General features: G+C 36.6%; 1 protein-coding gene across 47 annotated transcripts in view, besides 2 other annotated features; it reads left to right on the top strand.

Annotated features, from left to right (window-relative positions):
* Positions 1-21,255, top strand: part of RIMS2 (regulating synaptic membrane exocytosis 2) — a 755,485-nt gene that overhangs the window by 173,723 nt on the left and 560,507 nt on the right. The window lies entirely within an intron of this gene.
* Positions 1,334-2,161: an enhancer, noted in NCBI's record as "OCT4-NANOG-H3K27ac hESC enhancer chr8:104687894-104688721 (GRCh37/hg19 assembly coordinates)". NCBI's record gives its function as "activates a minimal SCP1, AML or CMV promoter by ChIP-STARR-seq in naive and primed H9 embryonic stem cells {active_cell/tissue: H9 hESC(naive and primed)}" and the evidence as "EXISTENCE:reporter gene assay evidence [ECO:0000049][PMID:30033119]".
* Positions 2,162-2,988: an enhancer, noted in NCBI's record as "NANOG-H3K27ac hESC enhancer chr8:104688722-104689548 (GRCh37/hg19 assembly coordinates)". NCBI's record gives its function as "activates a minimal SCP1, AML or CMV promoter by ChIP-STARR-seq in primed H9 embryonic stem cells {active_cell/tissue: H9 hESC(primed)}" and the evidence as "EXISTENCE:reporter gene assay evidence [ECO:0000049][PMID:30033119]".

The following is a 21,255-nucleotide window of genomic DNA, read 5'->3' on the forward strand; positions in this document are numbered from 1 at the left end:
CCTACTCCTTGATACTATCAATATAGAAGTTAATATTGCTAAAATCTTATAAGCAAATCCATCCAGTCTCAGATAGCTTTTGACCACACAAGATTTTCATAAACCTTTTATGATCTCTTAGAAAATTTTAAAATTCTTTTTATTTTTAACTGTTTTTTTTGTATCTATATCTTTTTTATTTTTTTAATTTGAAGCAACCTTTAAGTAACTTCTAGATGGGCAGAATTGATTTTCTCAACAAATGCATATTTTTATGCCTTTACAACTTTTCTCACTAAAAACATATCTTACTTTTCTTTATACACTGTATATAGAATTGTTTTTCCTATATCTAGTAGTTATAATTACACACATTAACTATAATTTTAACTCTTAGTAACCCTGGTTTTTAGTGAAAACCTAGCATAAGTAATTTTGAACTGTTTTATATCAGCATTTGCTGATGAAAATGATTTTATGATTTTTAGAATTATGTTTTCTCAAATTTTTGTTTAATTGATTTAAATATGTTTAGCATTTTTATGCAACATAAAAGTAAGATGCCAAAGTATATAACCTTGAATTTATATTTAATAATTAATGTTTCAATATTTTAATTTACTTACAAATGAATCATTTTTTGATTATTTGTTACTTAATTTAATATGATTTGAAGATTTTAAACTACTGAAAAGATTAAATGATTCTCCTGCTTCAGCCTCCTGAGTAGCGAGGATTACAGGCACTCGCCACCATGGCCGGCTAATTTTTTGTATTTTTAGTAGAGATGGGGTTTCACTATGTTGGCCTGGCTGGTCTCGAACTCCTGACCTCAAGTGATCTGCCCGCTTTGGCCTCCCAAAGTGCTAGGATTACAGACATGAGCCACCAGAACTGGTCCTGAAAAGAATTTTGAAATGTTACCCTCTCTAAAGTCTTTCCTAGTAGTCCTGGGTCTCAGGTAGCCACATGGCATCCTGGATGGCTATGAAGGCCAGGGCCCATCTGGGTCCTGAATTTACATATTAGGTGTAGAACTCAGAAGAGAAGACAGCTGTGAAAGTGATTCCTGTTCCATGCAACCCTTTGCAGAATGGCTAGGAGGCAAAACTGGACCAGGGAGGAATGGGCTTGACTCGGCCCTGCAGCTGGTGGTCTAAGTACTGAGGACATATCTTCAGGTCTTACCTTGGATGCCTGTCCAGATCCCAGAACCTAGAGGCTTGAAACATAAACATAAGTTCACCGTCAAATTAAACAAGTATTAAAAATATTAAGGAAGCAGCAGTTTTGTGACCTTGAAACATGTAACAGAGATAGCATAAGCCTATCTGACCAGTACACCCAGGCAGAAATTACCGTATTATATTTAACTGACAATTATGAAGCCATTCTTATTTTTTTTACCAACAATTTTAAAACTCCTTTTTTTTTTACAAAGTATCAGCACATGCACATAACACATACAGACTTGCAGACATACAGACACTCAGACAAAAGCAGATCTTTTAGCTTTTATAAGGAATTCTGGTTTGTGGACTTTTAAATAGTTTTTCTTTTCTCTATTTACTCTATCAGTCTTACAAATACCTGTTTTTTTGTCCTAAGCAATTATTAGTTAAGCAACAATTTGTCTTTTAAAGTGATGACTCTTAGGTGAAAAAAAGGTAGAAAATTTATATCTGAAAAGCACAGAGCTGAGACTTTAGGCCTAAATATCCTATCACCATTTATTCAACCCAAGGAAAAAAGGTACATAAAGACCCATTTAAGACAAGATGGCCAGAAAACTACCTTAAACAAAGGTAAGACTTGTTATGTAAATTTAAAACAATGGTAAGAGTTCCTAGTGACCTAGTCTTCCCTTTCATACACCCTTACAAATGGAAATTTCCTTATAGATGTAAACTTTTTTGCAAAAGGGTTTTTATATAGACTGTTAAATGCCAGAAAGGTATATTTTCAAAACAATTTAGTTCAATAGGTGGTCTTTTAAACTAAGCTATTGTTTCTTAGCTAAAATTACTGAGCTCAGGGTAGAGCCCCTTAAGGAATAGGGCAAAGAAAGCCTTTATGCCTGGATTTAGCATGTATAGCTCTTAAAAAGAAGCAAGTCTACTTTACCTGAGGGCCTACCTTTTATAAACACTTTATCCAGAATAGCTTTCTTTTTTCCTTCAGAACAGGATATTAATTAAGCCAAAAGTTAAGCAGATTCAATTCTTCTTCTCAGTTAGTTGCTTAAGCTTTTTATTTGCCTTTTAAAGTCTTTTTTTTTTTTAATAAAGAGGGAATAACAATACTGAAATATTTTTAGAAGCTTCTGCATATCAATAGGAATATCTGGGTGAGCTTAATTCAGGAGCCCTCATTTTAAAATATACTCCTTGGCTGGGCATGGTGGCTTACACCTGTAATCCCAGCACTTTGGGAGGCCAAGGAGGGTGGATCACTTGAGGTCAAGAGTTCAAGAGTAGCCTGGCCAACATGGTGAAACACTGTCTCTACTAAAAATGCAAAAAATTAGCCAGGCATGGTGGCGCATGCCTGTAATTTCAGTTACTCAGGAGCCTGAGGCAGGAGAATAGCTTGAACCCAGAAGGCAGAGGTTGCAGTGAGCTGAGATTGTGCCAGTCCACTCCAGCCTGGGTGACAGAGTAAGACTGTCTTAAAAATAAATAAAATATACTTTTTAAAGTGTAGTGTCATTCATTTGGAATGTTTCAGTGTAATTTTAAATTACCTTTAGTCAGATTTTGCCATTTCTCCAAGTGTTTGATGCTTTTGGGGCTTAATACTTATACAGGTAAATGTAGATATAGTTGGAAGTTGATGTACTCAGTTCTTTAGAAATTAGGATTCCATTTTCACATGGAATCTTGGCTTTGCCTCTCAGATCCGCTTGATCAACTTAGCCAATGATTTTTTCCTACTTAAGTGTGTAAAAAAAAAAGAAACAAAGGGGATGGTACACAAAAGTCTTTGAGAACTCCTGAAAGCTGGAGTTCACATCCCATGCAATATTGTCATTTACTGCCAGTTTCTACCTGACCTAGTCAGACACCTTAGGCCTCTAACTGGAATCAGGCCAGATAATTATCAGATAGAGTGTGATCTGGGACCCAGTTTAGTTTCTGTCATAACTTCTGAACCCAGTTCAGATAAAAAATTTGCTCAAACAAACTTAGATAGCTCAAAACAGAAATCCATGGATCTTAAGAATCCGAGAGAGAACTTACCCACAGTCTCCAGTTTCTGGGACAGCAATGGACACAATGGCCAGGCAGGTACTTTGCTTGGTTACCCAATGCTCCTGGGGCTCACTAGAAGCTCTATTTTGGTTCCTACTTCTGATACCATGTGGTAAAATTAAAAACTTTGGGCAAATTAAATTTAACAGTTTAATTGAGCAAAGAATGATTTGTGACTCAGGTAGCCCCCCAACCAGAACAGAGTCAGAGAGACTCCAGTGCTTCTGTGTGGTTGGAAAAGATTCGTGGACAAAAAAAAAGAAGTGACATACAAAAATACAGAAGAGATGTACAGAAGGAGCTGAATTAGTTACAGTTAGGTGCTTGCCTTATTTATTTATTCTGTATGTATGTGTGTATGCATTTATTTATTTATCTGTGCTTTGCTGAAACTCAGTGATAGTTACAAGAGTAGGTTACAGTCTGTGTATACATCCATTTAGGTTACAGTTCACTATGTAACTGTACTCCAGACAGATGTATGGCGAAACCTTTAGGACAAACTTATAAGGAGCCAGCTGTAGGCTAAACTTAATTTAATAGACTTAATTATATTTGTTTCCATGTCTGTCTCATATCTATGCATGTTCATATCTATCTTATTTTACTGATGACAAGAACAGGGTAATATTCAACTTTATGTTTTTCTCTATCATGTATCAAATAATATACACACAATACATATTTGTTTATTCATTATTAATGTAAACATTCAGTAAGTATTGAGAACTTGACTATGAGCCATGTATTATGCTAGTCACTGGGATAAACTGGAAAGCAAAAACAGACAAAGCAATTCTCATGACTTTTCTAATTAGAGAGGTAGAGATTAATGAGATAATTACATACATGAACAAAAGGTGCAACTGTAGTAAATGTCATATAATACAGTGCTTTGATAATATTTAACAGAGGGATTTGACCTAGTCAGTGATGTTAAGGAATACCTCTCCAAGGAAGTGATATTGAAGTGCATGAGAATAAGTAGGAGTATGGAAGTGAAGAGTAGAAAGTATGGTTATATTAGCTTCATGACATTGTTAGAGAACTTGCTTTTTCTTTCTTTCTGAAACAACATATAGAACATGGAAATATTTATTGGAGGTCCTTAATCTGTTTTGTATATGAATACGTTTGACAGCCTGTTGAAGCCTATCGATTCTTTCTCAAAATGTTTTTAAATGCATAAAAGATAATACATGCAATTAAAAAGGAAGTCAATTCAATTGAAATACCAATCTATTCATGGACTATCTGGGGGTGGATCACAAGTTAAGATAGAAAAATTTGAGTTAAAAGAATCACTTGTAATCCATACAGGTGGTTACTGTTTTTTTTAAGGATTGGCAATAAATGCCGACACATGTTTTTAGGTGGGAAGACTCAACACTGTGAAGATGTCAATTATCCTAAAAGTAATCTATAAATATAATGCAATTTTAATAAAAGTCCCTCTAGGATTTTCAAGAAAGTTGGATAAAAGGGTTATAATATTTATATGGAAGAAGTCATTTTACAAATGGTAAGTTTCCATGAAGAAGACCAGAGGCAAACCCTTTTTACCAGATAGCAAAGCAAGTTACAAAGCCAGAACACTATATATCCTGAAATATATGGATTCTCCCCTTCCCCCGAAACCAACCCTCTAGCAAAAGGAAACTGCTCAATTTGAGTCCTCATAAATCTTATCTTATGAGGAGCTCTTAATTTCTTTATTTTGAACTACAGAGAACTGCTTGGAGAGAACATATTATCCTTAAGGGACCTCAAACAAATCTAGTTTTGTATACCTATCCTATAGAGAAACAAGAAATTTAACATCAATCAAGAAATTCACAGTGGTATGACCTCACAGTGGCAAGTGTTGGAAATCCTAGTAAACAAACTTTTTAAAAGATTACTTTAAAAAGGAGTAATAGAGGTAGTTAACTTTTGGAGAATATGAAAACACACTTATAATATGAATAGGTAAACAACAACAACAAAACTAAGTGGCTGGGGAAAAAATTGCCAGGAACAGCAGTAAATATGAATTGAAGAAGTTTCATTATTTCACAGAACTCAGAAGTGAAAAATATTTACTTTAGAAAATACTGAATTCATTTAGTTTCCTTAGTGATGAGGGAGACTTTGATATAGAAGATATACCTGAAAAATTTAGATACAATAACTTTATGAGATAAGAAAGTAGAAAAATATTTCTAAATTTATATTTATTTAAATATTTATTTGTAATAAAAGTTTTAAACTAGTTTTATGATTATATCTTTGCCTCTTTTATCTACATCAAGAATTTGCAAAATATGGCCTGTGGACCAAAATCCTGCCTGCTATCTGCTTTTGTAAATAGCATTTTATTGGAATATAGTCAAACTCATGTTTTCATATTATTAGTGGTTGCCTTTGCATCGCAGTGGCAGAGTTGAGTAGTGACAGAGACTGTATGGACCACAAGGCCTAAATTAGCTACTGTCTGGTGCTTTACAGAAAAAGTTTGTTGACTTCTGATCTACATCACTAGAAAGTTATATATTCAAATTTATATATTTAAGATTTTTTGGATCTTTAATTTTATTTGGAGTTTGGTTGTTATTATCTTGTTATGGAGTAAAGGCAGACAAAAACACCATTGAAATAGAATGCAGAGTTCATAAACAGACCTATGTATATATGGGAACTTAGTATATGATAGATTGATATCACAAATCAGTGGAAGAAAGGACGAACTAGCTAGTATATGATGCTTGGAATATAGGATCTCTATATGGAGAAGATTGACATTAAATCCCTGCATCACAGCACATATAAAAATAAACTTCAGATTGATTAAAAGCCTAAATATGACTGGTAAAATTATAAAGCTACTAGAAGAAACCACAGAAATTTTTGGTGCCTGACTTAGGGGTAGGTAAGATTGTTCTGTTTTGTTTTGTTTTATATAGCCAGCCACCAAAGCTACAAATGATGAAGGGAGAAATTGAAGTATTTGACTACCTCAAAATTAAAGATTTCTGTTTAGCAAAATTAACAGACTGAGAGAAGAAATGTCCTATGTTCAACTATGTATATATAGGCTATATAGTATACGCCTGCATATCATGAAGAATAATACAGGAAATCCAATCCAGTAAAGGATATGAATAGGCAGTTCATCGGAAGGGCAGTCAAATTGACTGGATTTCATTGAAATCAGAAAACTATGAACTAAAAAATGGGACATCAATTAATACCTATCAAATCAGCAAAAATTTAAAAAGTTGAGTAATAATCACACATTGGCAAGAATGAGAGAAAACTAGAATATTCATACTTTGCTTGCAGGTGTACTAACAGGGTTAATCCATTTGGAAGAGCAGTTAAAAAGTATCTAGTGAATGTTAGTATGTTCGTCATATTTCTGCGTAAATGCCCTAGGGAAAACTTTATATGGGTTTAAAAAATATGGCATAGATATATTAAAGAGTAACGAATTATAAAGAGCCAACTTAAAGAAATGGATGAATAAAATGTGATTATCCAAACAGAAACATTATACAGCCATTAAAATGCATGAACTAGATGCAGCAACTATAGGGGTAAAGAGCACGAACTCTTGGAACAACACTAAATTTGGATTTGGCTTTTACCATTTACCAGCTGTTTGACTATGAGCCACATAACTTGTCTGTAGAATAGGGACAATAATATGAATAATGATAACAGCATCTATTTACCTGTTACATAGTAAGTACCATGCACATTAGCTATTTAGATTTTAATATAAAAATGTAAAATTGAATGACAAAAATAAATGGAAATAAGTAAATGGCACACATGCCATATATGTAAATGTACAAGACTGGTTTCCTCAGGGAAGGGAAATCAAATTGGGGAAGGGAAAATAGTTAATTAGAACAAGAACCAAGCGTGGACCAGTGCTACCAAGGGTATGATCAATTATATTATGGATACCTAAGGTTTTAAAAAAGAGAATTAAAAAAAGTGTACATAGCAATCCATTCATTCATTCTAGACAGGCAAGAGCATGTATAAAATATAGTCTATAATGGGATGAAAGAAAAAGGATTGAAAGAAAGGCTTTAGCAGAAAGTGGGAAAAGAAACTGCAAAAAAATTAAGTTAAAGATGTGTATAGTATATCCAAGGTTTTATAGGTCCTCATAAGATTTTTCTTAAGAACAATTAGCAGTGAGAGAAGAATAACTCTTTTTTTTAAGTAGAGATAATTTTTTCTGCAGTGTACAGAGTAGATTGAAGGGAAGAAGCATGGATGTGAGTAGCCTAACTAGGAGACTATTCTCTAGATTAGGTGGGAATTGATGTTAGCAAGACCTATAGTATTGGCAGCATATAATGGAGACAAGTGGAAGGATTCAAAGCACATGTAGGATGTAAAATTGAAAGGACATATTGGTAGATAAATTATGCATTTGAGGGAGAGAGACATTTCCAGAGTAATTCCAGATTTCAGGCCTGTATAATTGAATGGTGGCACCATTTTACTGATATGGGGAACAATGGAAGGGAATCTGGTTTGCGTAGGAAAACTGTGAGTTTTCTTGAATTTGAGGTGGCATTGAGAAATTTAAATAGAAATGTTAAGTAGGCGATTGAATACTGAAGCTCAGAGGAAAAGTCTGAACTAGAGGTATACATTTATAAGTCACTTATATATAGGTGGAAGTTGAAGCCTTAAGTATGGATAAAAATGCCTAAGAAGACTCTACATAATAAAAAGAGAAGAGGGCATGAGTCTTGACCTGCGAAGGAGAAAGAAAATGAAAGGACCTAGATACAGGAAGAAAACCAGGAGTCTTACAAAAGCTAAGTGGACAGTGAGGACTGTGACACATAGTTTTAAATATTGTTCAGAACTGAAGTAATATGATGACTGAAACGTTTGTCCATTAATTTTAGGTACATGGAAGCCATTGATAAATTTAGTGAGCATTAGGAAGTAGACTGGAAAGTGATGAGATAGAGTAGAAGAGTGCCTGGCATGAGGAAGCAGAGAATTTTGTTTATGTGTAAATGGGAAGGGAAGATATGATCTTGGCAAGGAACGTCAATTAACTCCTGAGTCTGCCCATATACCACCACCTCTTTGTCTAGCAGTGTCTCATTTTATAGGCCTGGTAGGATGAATAAATAAAATTTTTTAAAAAAATCTTTCTTAGTACCTCAAACTAAAGTAAGGTAAATACTGTTTCTTAGTACCTCAAATTACTGTCTTATCAAGACATTGTCTTATCTGGCTTGTAGCTTCTGTATCTCTGTTCTTCCTACAGCTGGAACCATTTGATTCCATTTTGCAGCCTTGATAGTGCTGCAGTATCTGGGATCATTACAGTTCTTATGTAAGAGAGTTTTAAATATCTAATATGACAGTTTGGGATAAATAGTTACTAGCTCTGCTACTAATTTAACTGGCCTACTCTTGTGTGTGAGAAATGCGGCTTCCACTTCCCTTGAGGCATAGTCATTATAGTTATAGCACAGTTCAGTCACCTGGATTTTTAGTTTCTGTTCCAGTGTTCCTTGGTATCTTAGTCCATTTTGTGTTATTTTAATGGAATAGCTGAGGCTGGTAATTTATAGGGAAAAGAAGTTTATTTAGCTCATGTTTCTGCAGGCTCAGAAGTTCAAGAAGCCTGGCACTGGCATCCGCTTGGCTTCTGGTGAGGACTTTATGCTGCTTCCACTCTAACAGAAAACTGAACGCGAGTGGGCAGGTGTGAAGAGATAACATGGTTAAAGAGGAAGTAAGAGAGTAAAATGAATAAAGCCAGAGTCTTTTGACAACTCACTCTTGTGAGAACTAATCCATTTTAGTCCAAGAATTCACTCACCCCCAAGGAAGAGCATTAATCTATTCATGAGATATCTGTCCACATAACCCAAACAACTCCTAGGCCACAACACTGCCACACTGGGAATTAAGTTCAGCATGAGTTTTGGCAGGGACGTTCAAACCATAGCACTTCGTAAATTGTCCAGTACTCCAATGCCTCCAGAACTGAAACAATATTGCTCTTTCTATTTTTTCTGTCTTGTTCTTTCTCCCAATGGGGTTTAGTCATTTACTGAGAAGCATCTCAAAGTTAGGAAGTGTATCAACAGTGTTGCAGTGGAAATGCACAGTATGGCACAAAGGTACAAATATGTGTCAAATTTCTACACTTGGAAAGATGATTCTTTTAAATGGTGGGAGAAGTTCTAATGCAGAGCTCATTCATTTATGGGCCTGAACCTCCTGTAGTGGTGCTTGTTTTGTGTTAGCAGAGCTTCACTTAAACCTGGTGTGAGATTATCAGGGAAAAGCAGGGTATTATCTGAAGTGACAGAAAAAGTTAATAAAATTGGTTTTAAAGCAATTTTCATTGATATTAGGTGTAGAAAGGAAGTATACTTTTGTGACAAAGTAGATATAAGGACTCCTGGAATTTTATCTGTTAATTTACTGGCTGACTTTAGGTTAGCACTTCGAAATCTAACTTTTCTTAATGTCAGGTTTTATGAACTATAGTTTATTTACAGTAAAATTTACCTCTTTTTTGTATATAGTTGAGTGAGTTTTGACAAACATAAAATCTATCAGCATAATCAAGACATAGAAATATTTCCTTTTCCCCAAGAGGTTTCTTGTGCCCATCACTCTACTCCAGCCCCTGGCAACCATTAATCTGATTTTGCTTTTCCCAGAATGTCATATAAATGAAACTATATCATAGAGAAGTAGGCAGTCTATGGTACACAAGCCAGTTCTATCCCACTGCCTGTTTGTGTATAACCAGCAAGTTAAAAATAGTTTTTTACACTTTTAAATGGTTGATTAAATTTTTTTAAGTTTATGATATTTTGTAATTGTAAAAACAACATAAAATTCAAATTTCAGTGCCCATAAATAAATCTTTACTGGAACACAGCTACACTCATTCATTTATATATTGTTCATGACTACTTTCTGGTTCATACTTTTTTTATTTTATTTTATTTTATTTTATTTTATTTTATTTTATTTTATTTTATTTTATTTTATTTTTGAGACAGACTCTCGCTCTATCCCCCAGGTTGGAGTGCAGTGGTGTGATCTCAGCTCACCGCAACTTCCGCCTCCCAGGTTCAAGCAATTCTCCTGCCTCAGCCTCTTGAGTAGCTGGGATTACAGGTGCCCACCACCATGCCTGGCTAATTTTTGTGTTTTTAGTAGAGATGGGATTTCCCTATGTTGGCCAGGTTGGTCTCAAACTCCTGACCTCAGGTGATCTGCCCACCTTGGCCTCCCAAAGTGCTGGGATTACAGGCATGAGCCACTTCACCTGGCACATACTTTTTATATCCTATTAAAGAAATCTTTTCCTAACCTATCTAAGAAGTCTTTGTTTATCCCAAGGTCACAAAGAATTTCTTGAATGTTTTCTTCTAGAAGTTTTATAGTTTTAGCCATTATATTTAGTTTTATAATTCATTTTGAGTTAATTTTTATATAAGGTGTAAGATACAAGTTGAGGTTTTTGTTTTTTACACATGGATTTTCTTTTTCTTTTTTTTTTTTGGATTTTCAATTACTATTTATGTTAGTCTGTTTTGCATTGCTATGAAGAAATACCTGCGTAATTTTTAAAGGAAAGAGTTTTATTTGGCTCATGGTTCTGCAAGCTGTACAAGAAGCAAAGTGCTGTCATTGGCTTCTGGTGGGGCCTCAGAAACCCTCCATTCATGGTGGAAGGCAAACAGGAAGCAGACATGTCACATGGCAAGAGAGGGAGCAAGGGCAGGGAGTAGTCCCAAACTTTTTAAAACAACTAGTTCTCCTGTGAACTAGCAGAGCAAGAACTCACTCTATTAGCATGAGGAGAGCACCAAGCCATTTATGAGGGATCCACCCCCATGACCCAGACACCTCCCACCAGGCCCCACCTCCAACATTGGAGATCACATTTCAATATGAGATTTAGAGGGTACAAAACATCCAAATGATATCACTAGTTTTACATATAAATTTCTAATTGCTTAAAAGACAATTTTTTTCTCCATTGAATTACTTCAGCTCCTTTGTAAAAAATGTTAATGATCACTAAGTATTGTACTACTTCTGGACTTCCCATTGCATCCATTGATATGTATCTTTATCCTTTGTCAGTACCATGTTTACTTGATCACTACAGCTTTTATAGTAAGTCTTCAAATCAGGTACTTTGAGTCTTTCAGCTTTCTTCTTTTTTAAAAAATATTTTTGTTTATTCCAGGATTTTGTTTTTCACATAAATTTTAGAGCTAGCTGGTCAATTTTTATTAAAAAAATGCTGGGAGTTTTATTGGGAATGGCATTGATTGAATAGATTGATTTGAAGAGAATTGTGATCTTAACAATTTTAGTCTTGCCATTGGTTAATGTGGTATATTTTTCCTATTATTTAGGTCTCCTTTGATACTTTTATCAGTGTTTTATAGTTTTCGCCATAGGAAGCTTGTTCATATCTTATTAGAGTTATACCTGAATCTTTTTTCTTTTTTTATTTTTCGCTGCTGTTGCAGACTGTTTATAAAAATATTCATTTTCAATTGTTCATTGCTACTAAATACACGTGTAATTGTTTTTTGTATATTGATCTTGTATCCTGTGACCTTGCTAAATTCATTTATTTGTTACAAGAGGTTTTTTCTTTCTAGTTTCTTTGAGATTTTATACAAAGACAGGTAGGGCAACTGCAAATAGTTTTCTATTTTCCTTTCTAATCTGTAAGCTTTTTATTTTCCTTTTCTTTTCTTGCCTTAATGTGGTGGCTAGCATTTTCAGTTTGATGTTGATTAGAAGTAGTGAAAGAGGATACCTTGCTTTATTACTGATCTTAGGGGGAAGCATTCAGTTTTTTACCATACAGTGTGATGTTAGTGGTAGACTGTTTTACAGATGCCTTTACTGTGCTAAGGAAGTTTTTGTCAATTCCTAGTTTGCTAAGCAGTTGTGTGACATGCTTTCTCAGCATATTTTTAGGTAATCATATTAATATGACAGATTATATTGCTTGAATTTAAAATGTGGTTCCAAACTTACATTCCTAAGATAAACATCACCTATTTGTAAGGTATTACTCTTTAACACATTTTTGGATTTGATTTGTTAATATTTTTAGTGTTGAGGATTTTTACATCTGCTTATGAGAAATACTTTATTGGTCTATAATTTCTTCCAGTATCTTTGTAATTTTTTTTTAAGAGATGGGGTCTTGCTTTGTTGCCCAGGCTGGAGTACAATGTGCAATCATAGGTCTCTGCAGCCTTGTATTCCTGGACTCAAGCAATCCTCCTGCCTCAGCCTCTTGGGTAGCTGGGACTACAGGTATATACCACCATGCCCAGCTTCTTTGTGTGGTTTTAGTGACAGAGTAATACTGGCATTAAGAGATTAGTTGGGAAATGTTCCATCCTGTTTTCTGGGAGAGACTATGTAGAATTGGTATTATTTCTTCCTTCAGTGTTTGGTAGCATTCACCAATGAAACCATTGGGAACCAGAGTTTTAGATTTGAAAGGTTCTTAAACTATGAATTAAAGTTATTTAATGGATATAAAGCTTGTCAAGCTATCTTTTTTTTTTGGTGAATGAGGTATGCTAGCTTCTGTCTTTCAAAGAAAGACATACATACATATGGGCATATGGTTGCTTATAGTATTCCTTTGTAGTCTTTTAAATTAATTTAGATTAATAGTGAGTTCTGTTGTAATCTCTGTCATTCTTGCTGTAGGTAATTTGTGTCTTGTTTTTTTCATCATTCTAACTCGAGGTTTATCAATTTTAGTGATTTTTTTTTTCTTAAATGCTTTTTTAATTTTTAAATTTAATTTCAAATTAACAAAAATTGTGTATACTTACACAACATGATGTTTTGAAGTCTGTATATATTGTGGAATGATTCAATCCAGCTAATTACCATATGCATTATCTCACATACTTATTTTTGTGGTGAGAACAAAGTCTACCCTCTTATGATTTTCAAAATACAATATATTGTTATTAACTATAGACATCATGTTGTACAATAGATCACTTGAATCTCCCATCTAACTGAAATTTTGTATCCTTTGACCAACATCTCCCTAACCTCCCATACCCCAGTCTCTGGTGATCATAATTCTACCCTCTACCTCTATGAGTTGAACTTTTTAAGATTTCACATGTAAATGAAATCATACAGTATTTGTCTTTCTGTGCCTGGCTTACTTCACTTAACATAATGTCCTCTGAGTTCATCTGTGTTGTAACAAATGACAGGACTTCTTTCTTTTTTATAGCTGAATAGTGTTCCATTGTTTATATATACCGCATTTTTTTTTATTGATTCATTCACTGATGGATACTTACATTGATTTATATATTGACTATTGTAAATAATGCTGCAATGAACATAGGAATATGGATATCTCTTCAACATACTGGAGTCTTTAGGGTTTACTGTAGATAAGATCATGTTGTCCACAAACAGAGACAATTAAATTTCCTTTTCAATTTGGATGCCTTTTATTTCTTTCTTATGCTTAATAGCTCTTGCTAGGATTTCCATTACTATGTTGAATATAAGTTGCAATAGTTGGTATCCTTGTCTTCTTCTTGATCTTAGAGGAAAGTTTCCAACTTTTCACCGTTGAGTATGATGTTAGCTGTGGGTTTGTAATGTAACACCTGTATTGTGTTGACATATATTTCTTGTATACCTAATTTAAGAGTTTATTTATCATGAAAGGATATTGAATTTTATCAAATGCTTTTTCTGCATCTATTAAAATGATCATACAGTTTGTGTACTTTGTTCTGTTAACGTGGTGTATCACATTGATAGAATTGTATATGTTGAACTATCTTTGCATTCTGAACTATCAAGGAATCCAACTTGATCATGGTGGATGATCCTTTTATATGTGCAGTTGAATTCAGTTTGCTAGTATTTGGTTGCTAGTATTTGGTTTTGCATCTATGTTCATCAAGAATATTGGCCTGTAATTTTATTATTTTTGTAGTTTATTTTCTGGCTTTAGTATCAGGGTAATGCTGGCCTCATAAAATGAGTTTGGATGCATTCTCTTCTATTCAGTTTTTTGGAAGAGTTTGAGAAGGATTGGTATTAGTTCATAGTAGTGTCTTATGATCCTTTGTATCTCTGTGGTATGAACTTTAATGTCTCCTCTTTAATGCCTGATTTCATTTAGAGCTAAAAGCTTGTTGATTTTATCTTTTTAAGAAAACAACTCTTAGTTTTATCTTTTCTATTTTTTAAATTTCTGATTTCACTGATTTCTGCTGATACGTATTGTTTCCCTCCTTCTACTAACTTTGGGCTTAGTTTGTTCTTCTTTTCGTAGTTTCTTTGGTCGTAATTTTAGGCTGTTTATTTTGGATCTCTCTTCTTTTTTTGATCTACCCATTTATTGTTATAATTGTCCTCTTAGAATTGCCCATGCTGCATCACATATATTTTGGTGTGTGTTGTTTCCATTTTTCTTTGTCTCAAGGTATTTTTTTAACTTGCATTTTAATTTCTTCTTTGACCCACTGGTCATTCAGGAGCATATTGTTTAACTTCCATGTGTTTGCATAGTTTCCAAAATTTCTCATATTATTGATTTCTAGTTTTATTTCATTGTGGTCAGAGAAGATACTTGATATAATTTTATTTTATTTTTTTAATTTTTAAAGACTTGTTTTGTGGCCTAACTTATGGTCTGCCCTTGAGAATGATCCATGTGCTGAGGGGAAGAATGTGTATTCTTCAGTCATTGGATGAGATGTTCTGTAAATACCTATTAATTCCATTTGGTCTGTAGTGCAGATTAAGTCTGATGTTTCTTTGTTTATTTTCTGTCTGGATGATCTGTCCAATGCTGAAAGTGGGGTTTTGAAGTCTCCAGCTATCATTGTATTTAGGTCTATCTCTCTCTTTAGCTCTAATAATATTTACTTTCAATATCTGGGTGCTTCAGTATTTTGTGGATATAGATTTATAATTGTTATATACTTTTGCTGAATTGATTCCTTTATCATTACATAATGACCTTCTTTGTTTCTTTTTATAATTTTTGTCTTGAAATCTATTTTGTCTGATACAAGTATAGTTACTCCTGCTCCTTTTTTGGTTTCCTTTTGCAATAGGAAATCACGTGAAGGTACAAAACTCACTAGTAATAGTAAATGCACAGAAAAACACAAAATATTATAACACTGTGATTATGGTGTATAAACTACTGATATCTTGAATAGAAAGATTCCTTTTTCCATTTCTTTATTTTCAGTTTATGTTTATCTTTATAGGTGAAGTGTGTTACTTTTAGGCAACAGAATATTGGATTTTTTGTTTGATTGTTTGTTTGTTTGTTTTAATACATTCAGCTACTCCATGTGTCTTTTTTTTTTTTTTTCTTTGAGATGGAGTCTTACTTTGTTGCCCAGACTGGAGTGCAGTGGCGTAATCTCAGCTCACTGCAGCGTCTGCTTCCTGGGTTCAAGTGATTCTACTGCCTCAGCCTTCCAAGTAGTTGGGGTTACAGGCATGCACCATGATGCCCAGCTAATTTTTTTTGTATTTTTAGTAGAGACAGGGTTTCAGAATGTTGGCCAGGCTAGTCTCAAACTCCTGACCTCAAGTGGTCCCCCCACCTCAGCTTCCTGAAGTTCTGGGATTATAGTCATGAGCCACCGCTCCTGGCCGCATGTGTCTTTTGATTGGAGAGTTTAGTTGATTTACATTCAATGTTAATAAGGATTTACTCCTGCCATTTTGTTTTTTATGGTTGCTTTATGGTCCTCTCTTCCTTCTTTCCTTCCTTCCTGTCTTCTTTGTAGTGAAGGTCAGTTTCTCCTGTGGTGTGCTTTAATTGCTTGTATTTTACTTTTTGTGTATCTGTTGTATGTTTTTTGATTTGAGGTTACCATGAAGTTAATAAATAACATCTTAGAATCCATTATTTTAAACTGATGACAACTTAACACTGACTGCATAAACTAATAAGCAAAAACAAAACTAATAAAAATACTACACTTAACCTTTACTCACCTGCTTGTTAACTTTATGTTGTTTCTGTTTATATCTTACTGTAGTGTCTATGTCTTAAAAAGTTTTTGTAGTTACTATTTTTGATGCATTCATCTTTTAATCTTTCTATTCAAGATATCAGTAGTTTATACACCACAATCACAGTGTTATAATATTTTGTGTTTTTCTATGCATTTACTATTACTAGTGAGTTTTGTACCTTTGGTGATTTCCTATTGCTCATTAACATTCTTCTTTGAGATTGAAGAACTCCCTTTAGCATTTCTTGTTGGCAGGTCTGATGTTGATGAAATCCCTCAGCTTTTGTTTGTCTGGGGAAGTCTTGATTCCTTTATGTTTGAAGGATATTTTTACTGGATGTACTATTCTAGGATAAAAGTTGTTTTCTTTCAACACTTTGAATAATCATGCTACTTTGTCTTGATTTCCTCTAAGAAGTCTGCTGCCAGACATACTGGAGCTTCATTCTGTGTTTTCTCTTTCTTTTCTCTTGCTGCTTTTGGGATTCTTTCTTTATCCTTTACCTTTGGGAGTTTGATTATTAAATGCCTTGAGGTAGTCTTTGGGTTAAATCTGCTTGATGTTCTGTAACTTGCTTGTGCTCGAATATTGATATCTTTCTTTAGGTTTGGGAAGTTCTCTGTTATTATCCCTTCGAACGAACTTTTACCCCATCTCTGTCTATATATTTAAGGCCAATAACTCTTAGATTTGCCATTTTGAGGCTATTTTCTAGATCTTGTAGGTGTGCTTTATTGTTTCTTGTTCTTTTTTTCCTCTTCTGACTGTGTATTTTCAAATAGCCTGTCTTCAAGGTCACTAATTCTTTCTTCTACTTGATCAATTCTGCTTTGAAGAGACTCATGCATTCTTCAGTATGTCAGTTACATTTTTCAACTCTAGAATTTCTACTTGATTCTTTTACGTTATTTCAATCTCTTTGTTAAATTTATCTGATAGGATTCTGAATTCCTTCTCCGTGGTATCTTGAATTTCATTGAGCTCCTTCAAAACAGCTATTTTGAATTCCTCTGTCTTAAAAGACATATATTTCTGTCTCTCTGGGATTGGTCCCTAGTGCCTTACTTAGTTTGTTTGGTGTGGTCATGTCTTCCTGGGTAGTCTTGATGCTTGTGGGTGTTCTTTGGTTTCTGGGGATCAAAGAGTAAAGTATTTATTGTAGTCTTCACAGTCTGGGGTTGTTTGTACCCATCCTTCTTGGTAAAGCTTTCCAGGTATTTGAAGGGACTTGGGTATTGTGATGTATGTCTTAGATCAGTGTAGCTGTATCTTCACAAGGGGCCACACCAATCCCAGTAATGTTGCAGACTCACAGAGGTATTGCCTTGGATAAGGTCTTGGGTAAAATCTGGAAGAATTCTCTGGATTGCTAGGCAGAGACTCTTGTTCTCTTTCCTTATTCTCTCCCAAACAAATGGAGTCTCTGTCTCTCTCTTTCTGTCTGTGTGGGACTGCCTGGGGTTGAGGAAGAGTGACACAAGTACCCCTGTGGCCACTACCAATGAGACTGCGCTGGGTCAGACCTAAAGCCAGCCCAGCCTTGTGCCTCACCGAAAGCTCACAGCAACCACTGCCTGAGTACCACCTGTGTTCACTCAAGGTTCAAGGGCTTTACAATCAGCAAGTGCTAAAGCCAGCCAGGCTTTTGTCCTTTTCTTCAGGATGGTGAGTTGCTTCCTCTTCCCAGACAAGCTCAGAAATGGTATTTCAGAGCCAGGGCCTGGAGTCAGAAACCTTAGGAATCTACCTGGTGTTCTATTCTACTGTGCCTGAGCTGGACCCAAGCCACAAGACAAAGTTCTTCCCACTCTTCTCTCTTTTTTCCACAAGCAGTGAAGTCTCTTCCTATGGCTACCACAACTGGGAATTTGTTGAAGCCAGCACATCTGTGAGTCTCACCCAAGGCCCATGGCAAGTACTGCCTGGGCATTCCTGCTGACTATTCAGAGCCTTAAAGCTTTTTAGTCAGCAGCTGATGAATCCTGCTAGGACTGGGTTCTTTCCTTCAGGGCAGTGGGTTCCTTTCTGGCCCAGAGTATCTCTAGAAATGTTGTCTGGGAGCTAAGGCCTGGAATGGGGGCCTCACAACTCTGCCTGGTACCATATTCTACTGTGGCTGAGCTGGTATCCAAGGTGCCAGACAAAGTCCTTTATACTCTTCCAAGTGAGGGATACAGTCTCAGAACTATGAGCTCTGCTACCTGGGGTTGGGGGAGGGGTGATGCAAGCACTCCCTTTGCCACCTCAGCTGGTTTCTCACTGGGTTGCATGCTCCCCTCATCCACTGGCTTTGAGCCCAGCACAGAATCAGGAATTGCCCAGGAATTGTGGTCCTTGTGGTCTGGACTGCCTTTCAGGTTTATTTAGGATCCCAGACCCCTTTAGCTCATGGTGATGGGGCTTACCTTTGGTTGAACTCTGGTTCCTACTGCTGTGATGGGCAATTCACTTCTGGCTAGGGCTGGTCTAAATGCTCCCTCTATGAGGGGTGGCTGAGTTCTGCCTGATGTTGCTTTCCCCTGTGACAGGTCATCACTGAGTTTCAATGCAAAGTCCCACAATTACTAAACTCTCCCTTCCATAAGTTCACAGATTCTCTTCCTGCACCCTGTGGCTGCTGCTGATAGGTGAAGGAGGGATAGCATCGAGAATTTAAGACTGTTTTTTCTACCCTCTTCAGTGCCTCTTTTTTATATAAAAGTTAAAACGAGGTACTGTAATTGCTCACTTGATCTTTGGTCCTTATGACCGTGCTTTTTTATGAGGATAGTTGTTCAATTTGGTGTTCCTGTGAGGAGGATAATTAATGGAGGCTTCTCTTCCACCATCTTCTTATTCTTCCTCGCTGGAAATGATTGCTTTTTTGGTAGTGTTATATCTCCTTGGTTTTTCATGATTATGCTTACCTTCTGTTGATGTCTGTGCATGTAGGAAGTAGGGACTTATTCCAGTCTGTTTAGATTGTCTTTGTTTGGAAAATGTCTTCACCAGTCAGCCCATGTGGTGATTCTGGGCAAGCTGTTTGCATGGTTGGTAGGTGGGCTTGTTGTTGGAATTCTTGGGGAGACTGAACCAGTGCCTGGGTCAGCAGGTGTGTGTCCCTGGCCCCTGGGTTTGTTGGGTTAGTCTTTGATCCTGGAGCCTCTGTTGTGGGCCGATTCATTTGGTCTGCAGGCTTTGTCCTCAAATCTCTTTCTTTGGGAACTGACCTTAAACTTGGGTCCACAGAGGCTGACCTGGCATTGAAGTTGGCCTTGAGCCTGTGTCAGGAGGGGCTGGCTAGGTGTTGGTATGGTGTTAGTGCACAGGTGCACTGGGATGGACCCAGAGTCCATGGGACCTGACCTGGTGCTTGGTTGGTCCTGGGGCCCGAGTCTTTTAGGGTGGAACTTGTTCTTGTGTCCGCAAGAGTGGATTTGGAGACTTTTTCCATGTGGTTTGGCTTGGCACTGGGTTCTACTGTCACACTATTGATCTGTTGGTCTGCTGGAGTGTGGCTTTGTAAGGGCTGGCCTGGAGGGTGGGCCTCAGGGACCAGCATGGCATTGGGTATGCCTAGAATCTGTTTTTGCAGGTTCTGATCTTTGCCTTAGACCAGGATGCTAACATGTTGCTGTGTTGGGCTGATGCTTGCAGTAGTACGGGCCTCTGTTTTACTGAGCTGGTCTGAAACCTGAAGGAAGCCTGGAGGCTAGGGCTACAGGGGCTGGTCTTCTGCTGAGTGGGCCTGGAACTTGTATCTTCTGGTGCCATCCTGGAGGCTGGGTCTTTGTGTGATGGCTTGATGACTAGGGCTTTAGGCACTTGTGCTGTGCTGGGACATGCCTTGTAACCTGGGACTATGTGAGCCAGTATAATAATGGGAGTATTCAGTAGCCCAGGATGGCTGGGGCTATCCTGGCTCTGTAATATGCCTGGAGGTTCCATATAGACCTTGTCTACTGGGCAGGCCTGGAACCTAGAGCTGTGGGATCTCACTTGATGCCAGGGTGGGCTTGGAGGCTTGGTCTGCAGATACCAGCCTGGATCCTGGGCTACGGGGGCTGGTTTGGTGCTAGGTGTGCCTGGAGCCTATATCCACAGAGGCTTGTCTGGAGGCTGGTTCTGAGGGTGCTAGCCTGATGATTGAACTGCAGGGCCTGGCCTGATACTGGGTTGTGCCTGAAGCCTGAGGTCAGGGAAGCCAGCCTGGCACTGAGGGCATTGTAGAAGTCTGGAGTCATCCTGGAGATTGGGCAGGCCCAAAGACCAAGTCTGATGGTCAGGCATGGAGCCTGGGGATGTGGGATTTGTTTTGGCACTGGAGTGGGCCTGGAGGCTCAGTCTGTGCATACAACCCTGATGTCTGAGACTGTGGGGGTCTGCCTAGCACCTCATTTTATTGGTGAAACAGTAAACAATTGCCTGATATTGGAGTTCAAGGCAGAGTTGAGTGTTCTGTTCTCTCTTTTTCCCCCTAGCGATGAGTATCTCTGTTTATGCTGTGTTGTCTGTGGTTGGGGAGGGATGAACAGGAAATGTTAAACTGTCCTTTTTACCCTGTTCAGTGCGTCTTTTATTTTTTTGCTACACTTAGTTGCTATAATCTCCCACCTGGTTTCCTTAGGTCTCATGAAGGTGTTTTCACATATGAGTAGTTGTTCAAATTGATGTTTCTGCTGAGGGACAAATGTTGGAAAGTCCTTTTCCCTCAACTTGCTTATGTCAGTCTCCATTGATTTTTTTCATAAAACCAGCATTTGGTTTCATTGATTTCTGCTCTAATCTCTTGTATTTCTTTTCTTCTGCTTTCTTTGAGTTTAATTTTCTATTTTCTTAAGTTTTTGAGACACATTTTATTTTTAATATGAGCATTTATTTCTTTGTCTAGGTCTCTTTTTCCATATGATACTTCCAAGGAGTATCATACTCTTTCTGTTTCAAGAACTTCTTTTAAGTTCCATGCAGTGAAGGTCTA

This window comes from Homo sapiens, chromosome 8, assembly GCF_000001405.40.
Source record: "Homo sapiens chromosome 8, GRCh38.p14 Primary Assembly".
Lineage (NCBI taxonomy): Eukaryota > Metazoa > Chordata > Mammalia > Primates > Hominidae > Homo > Homo sapiens.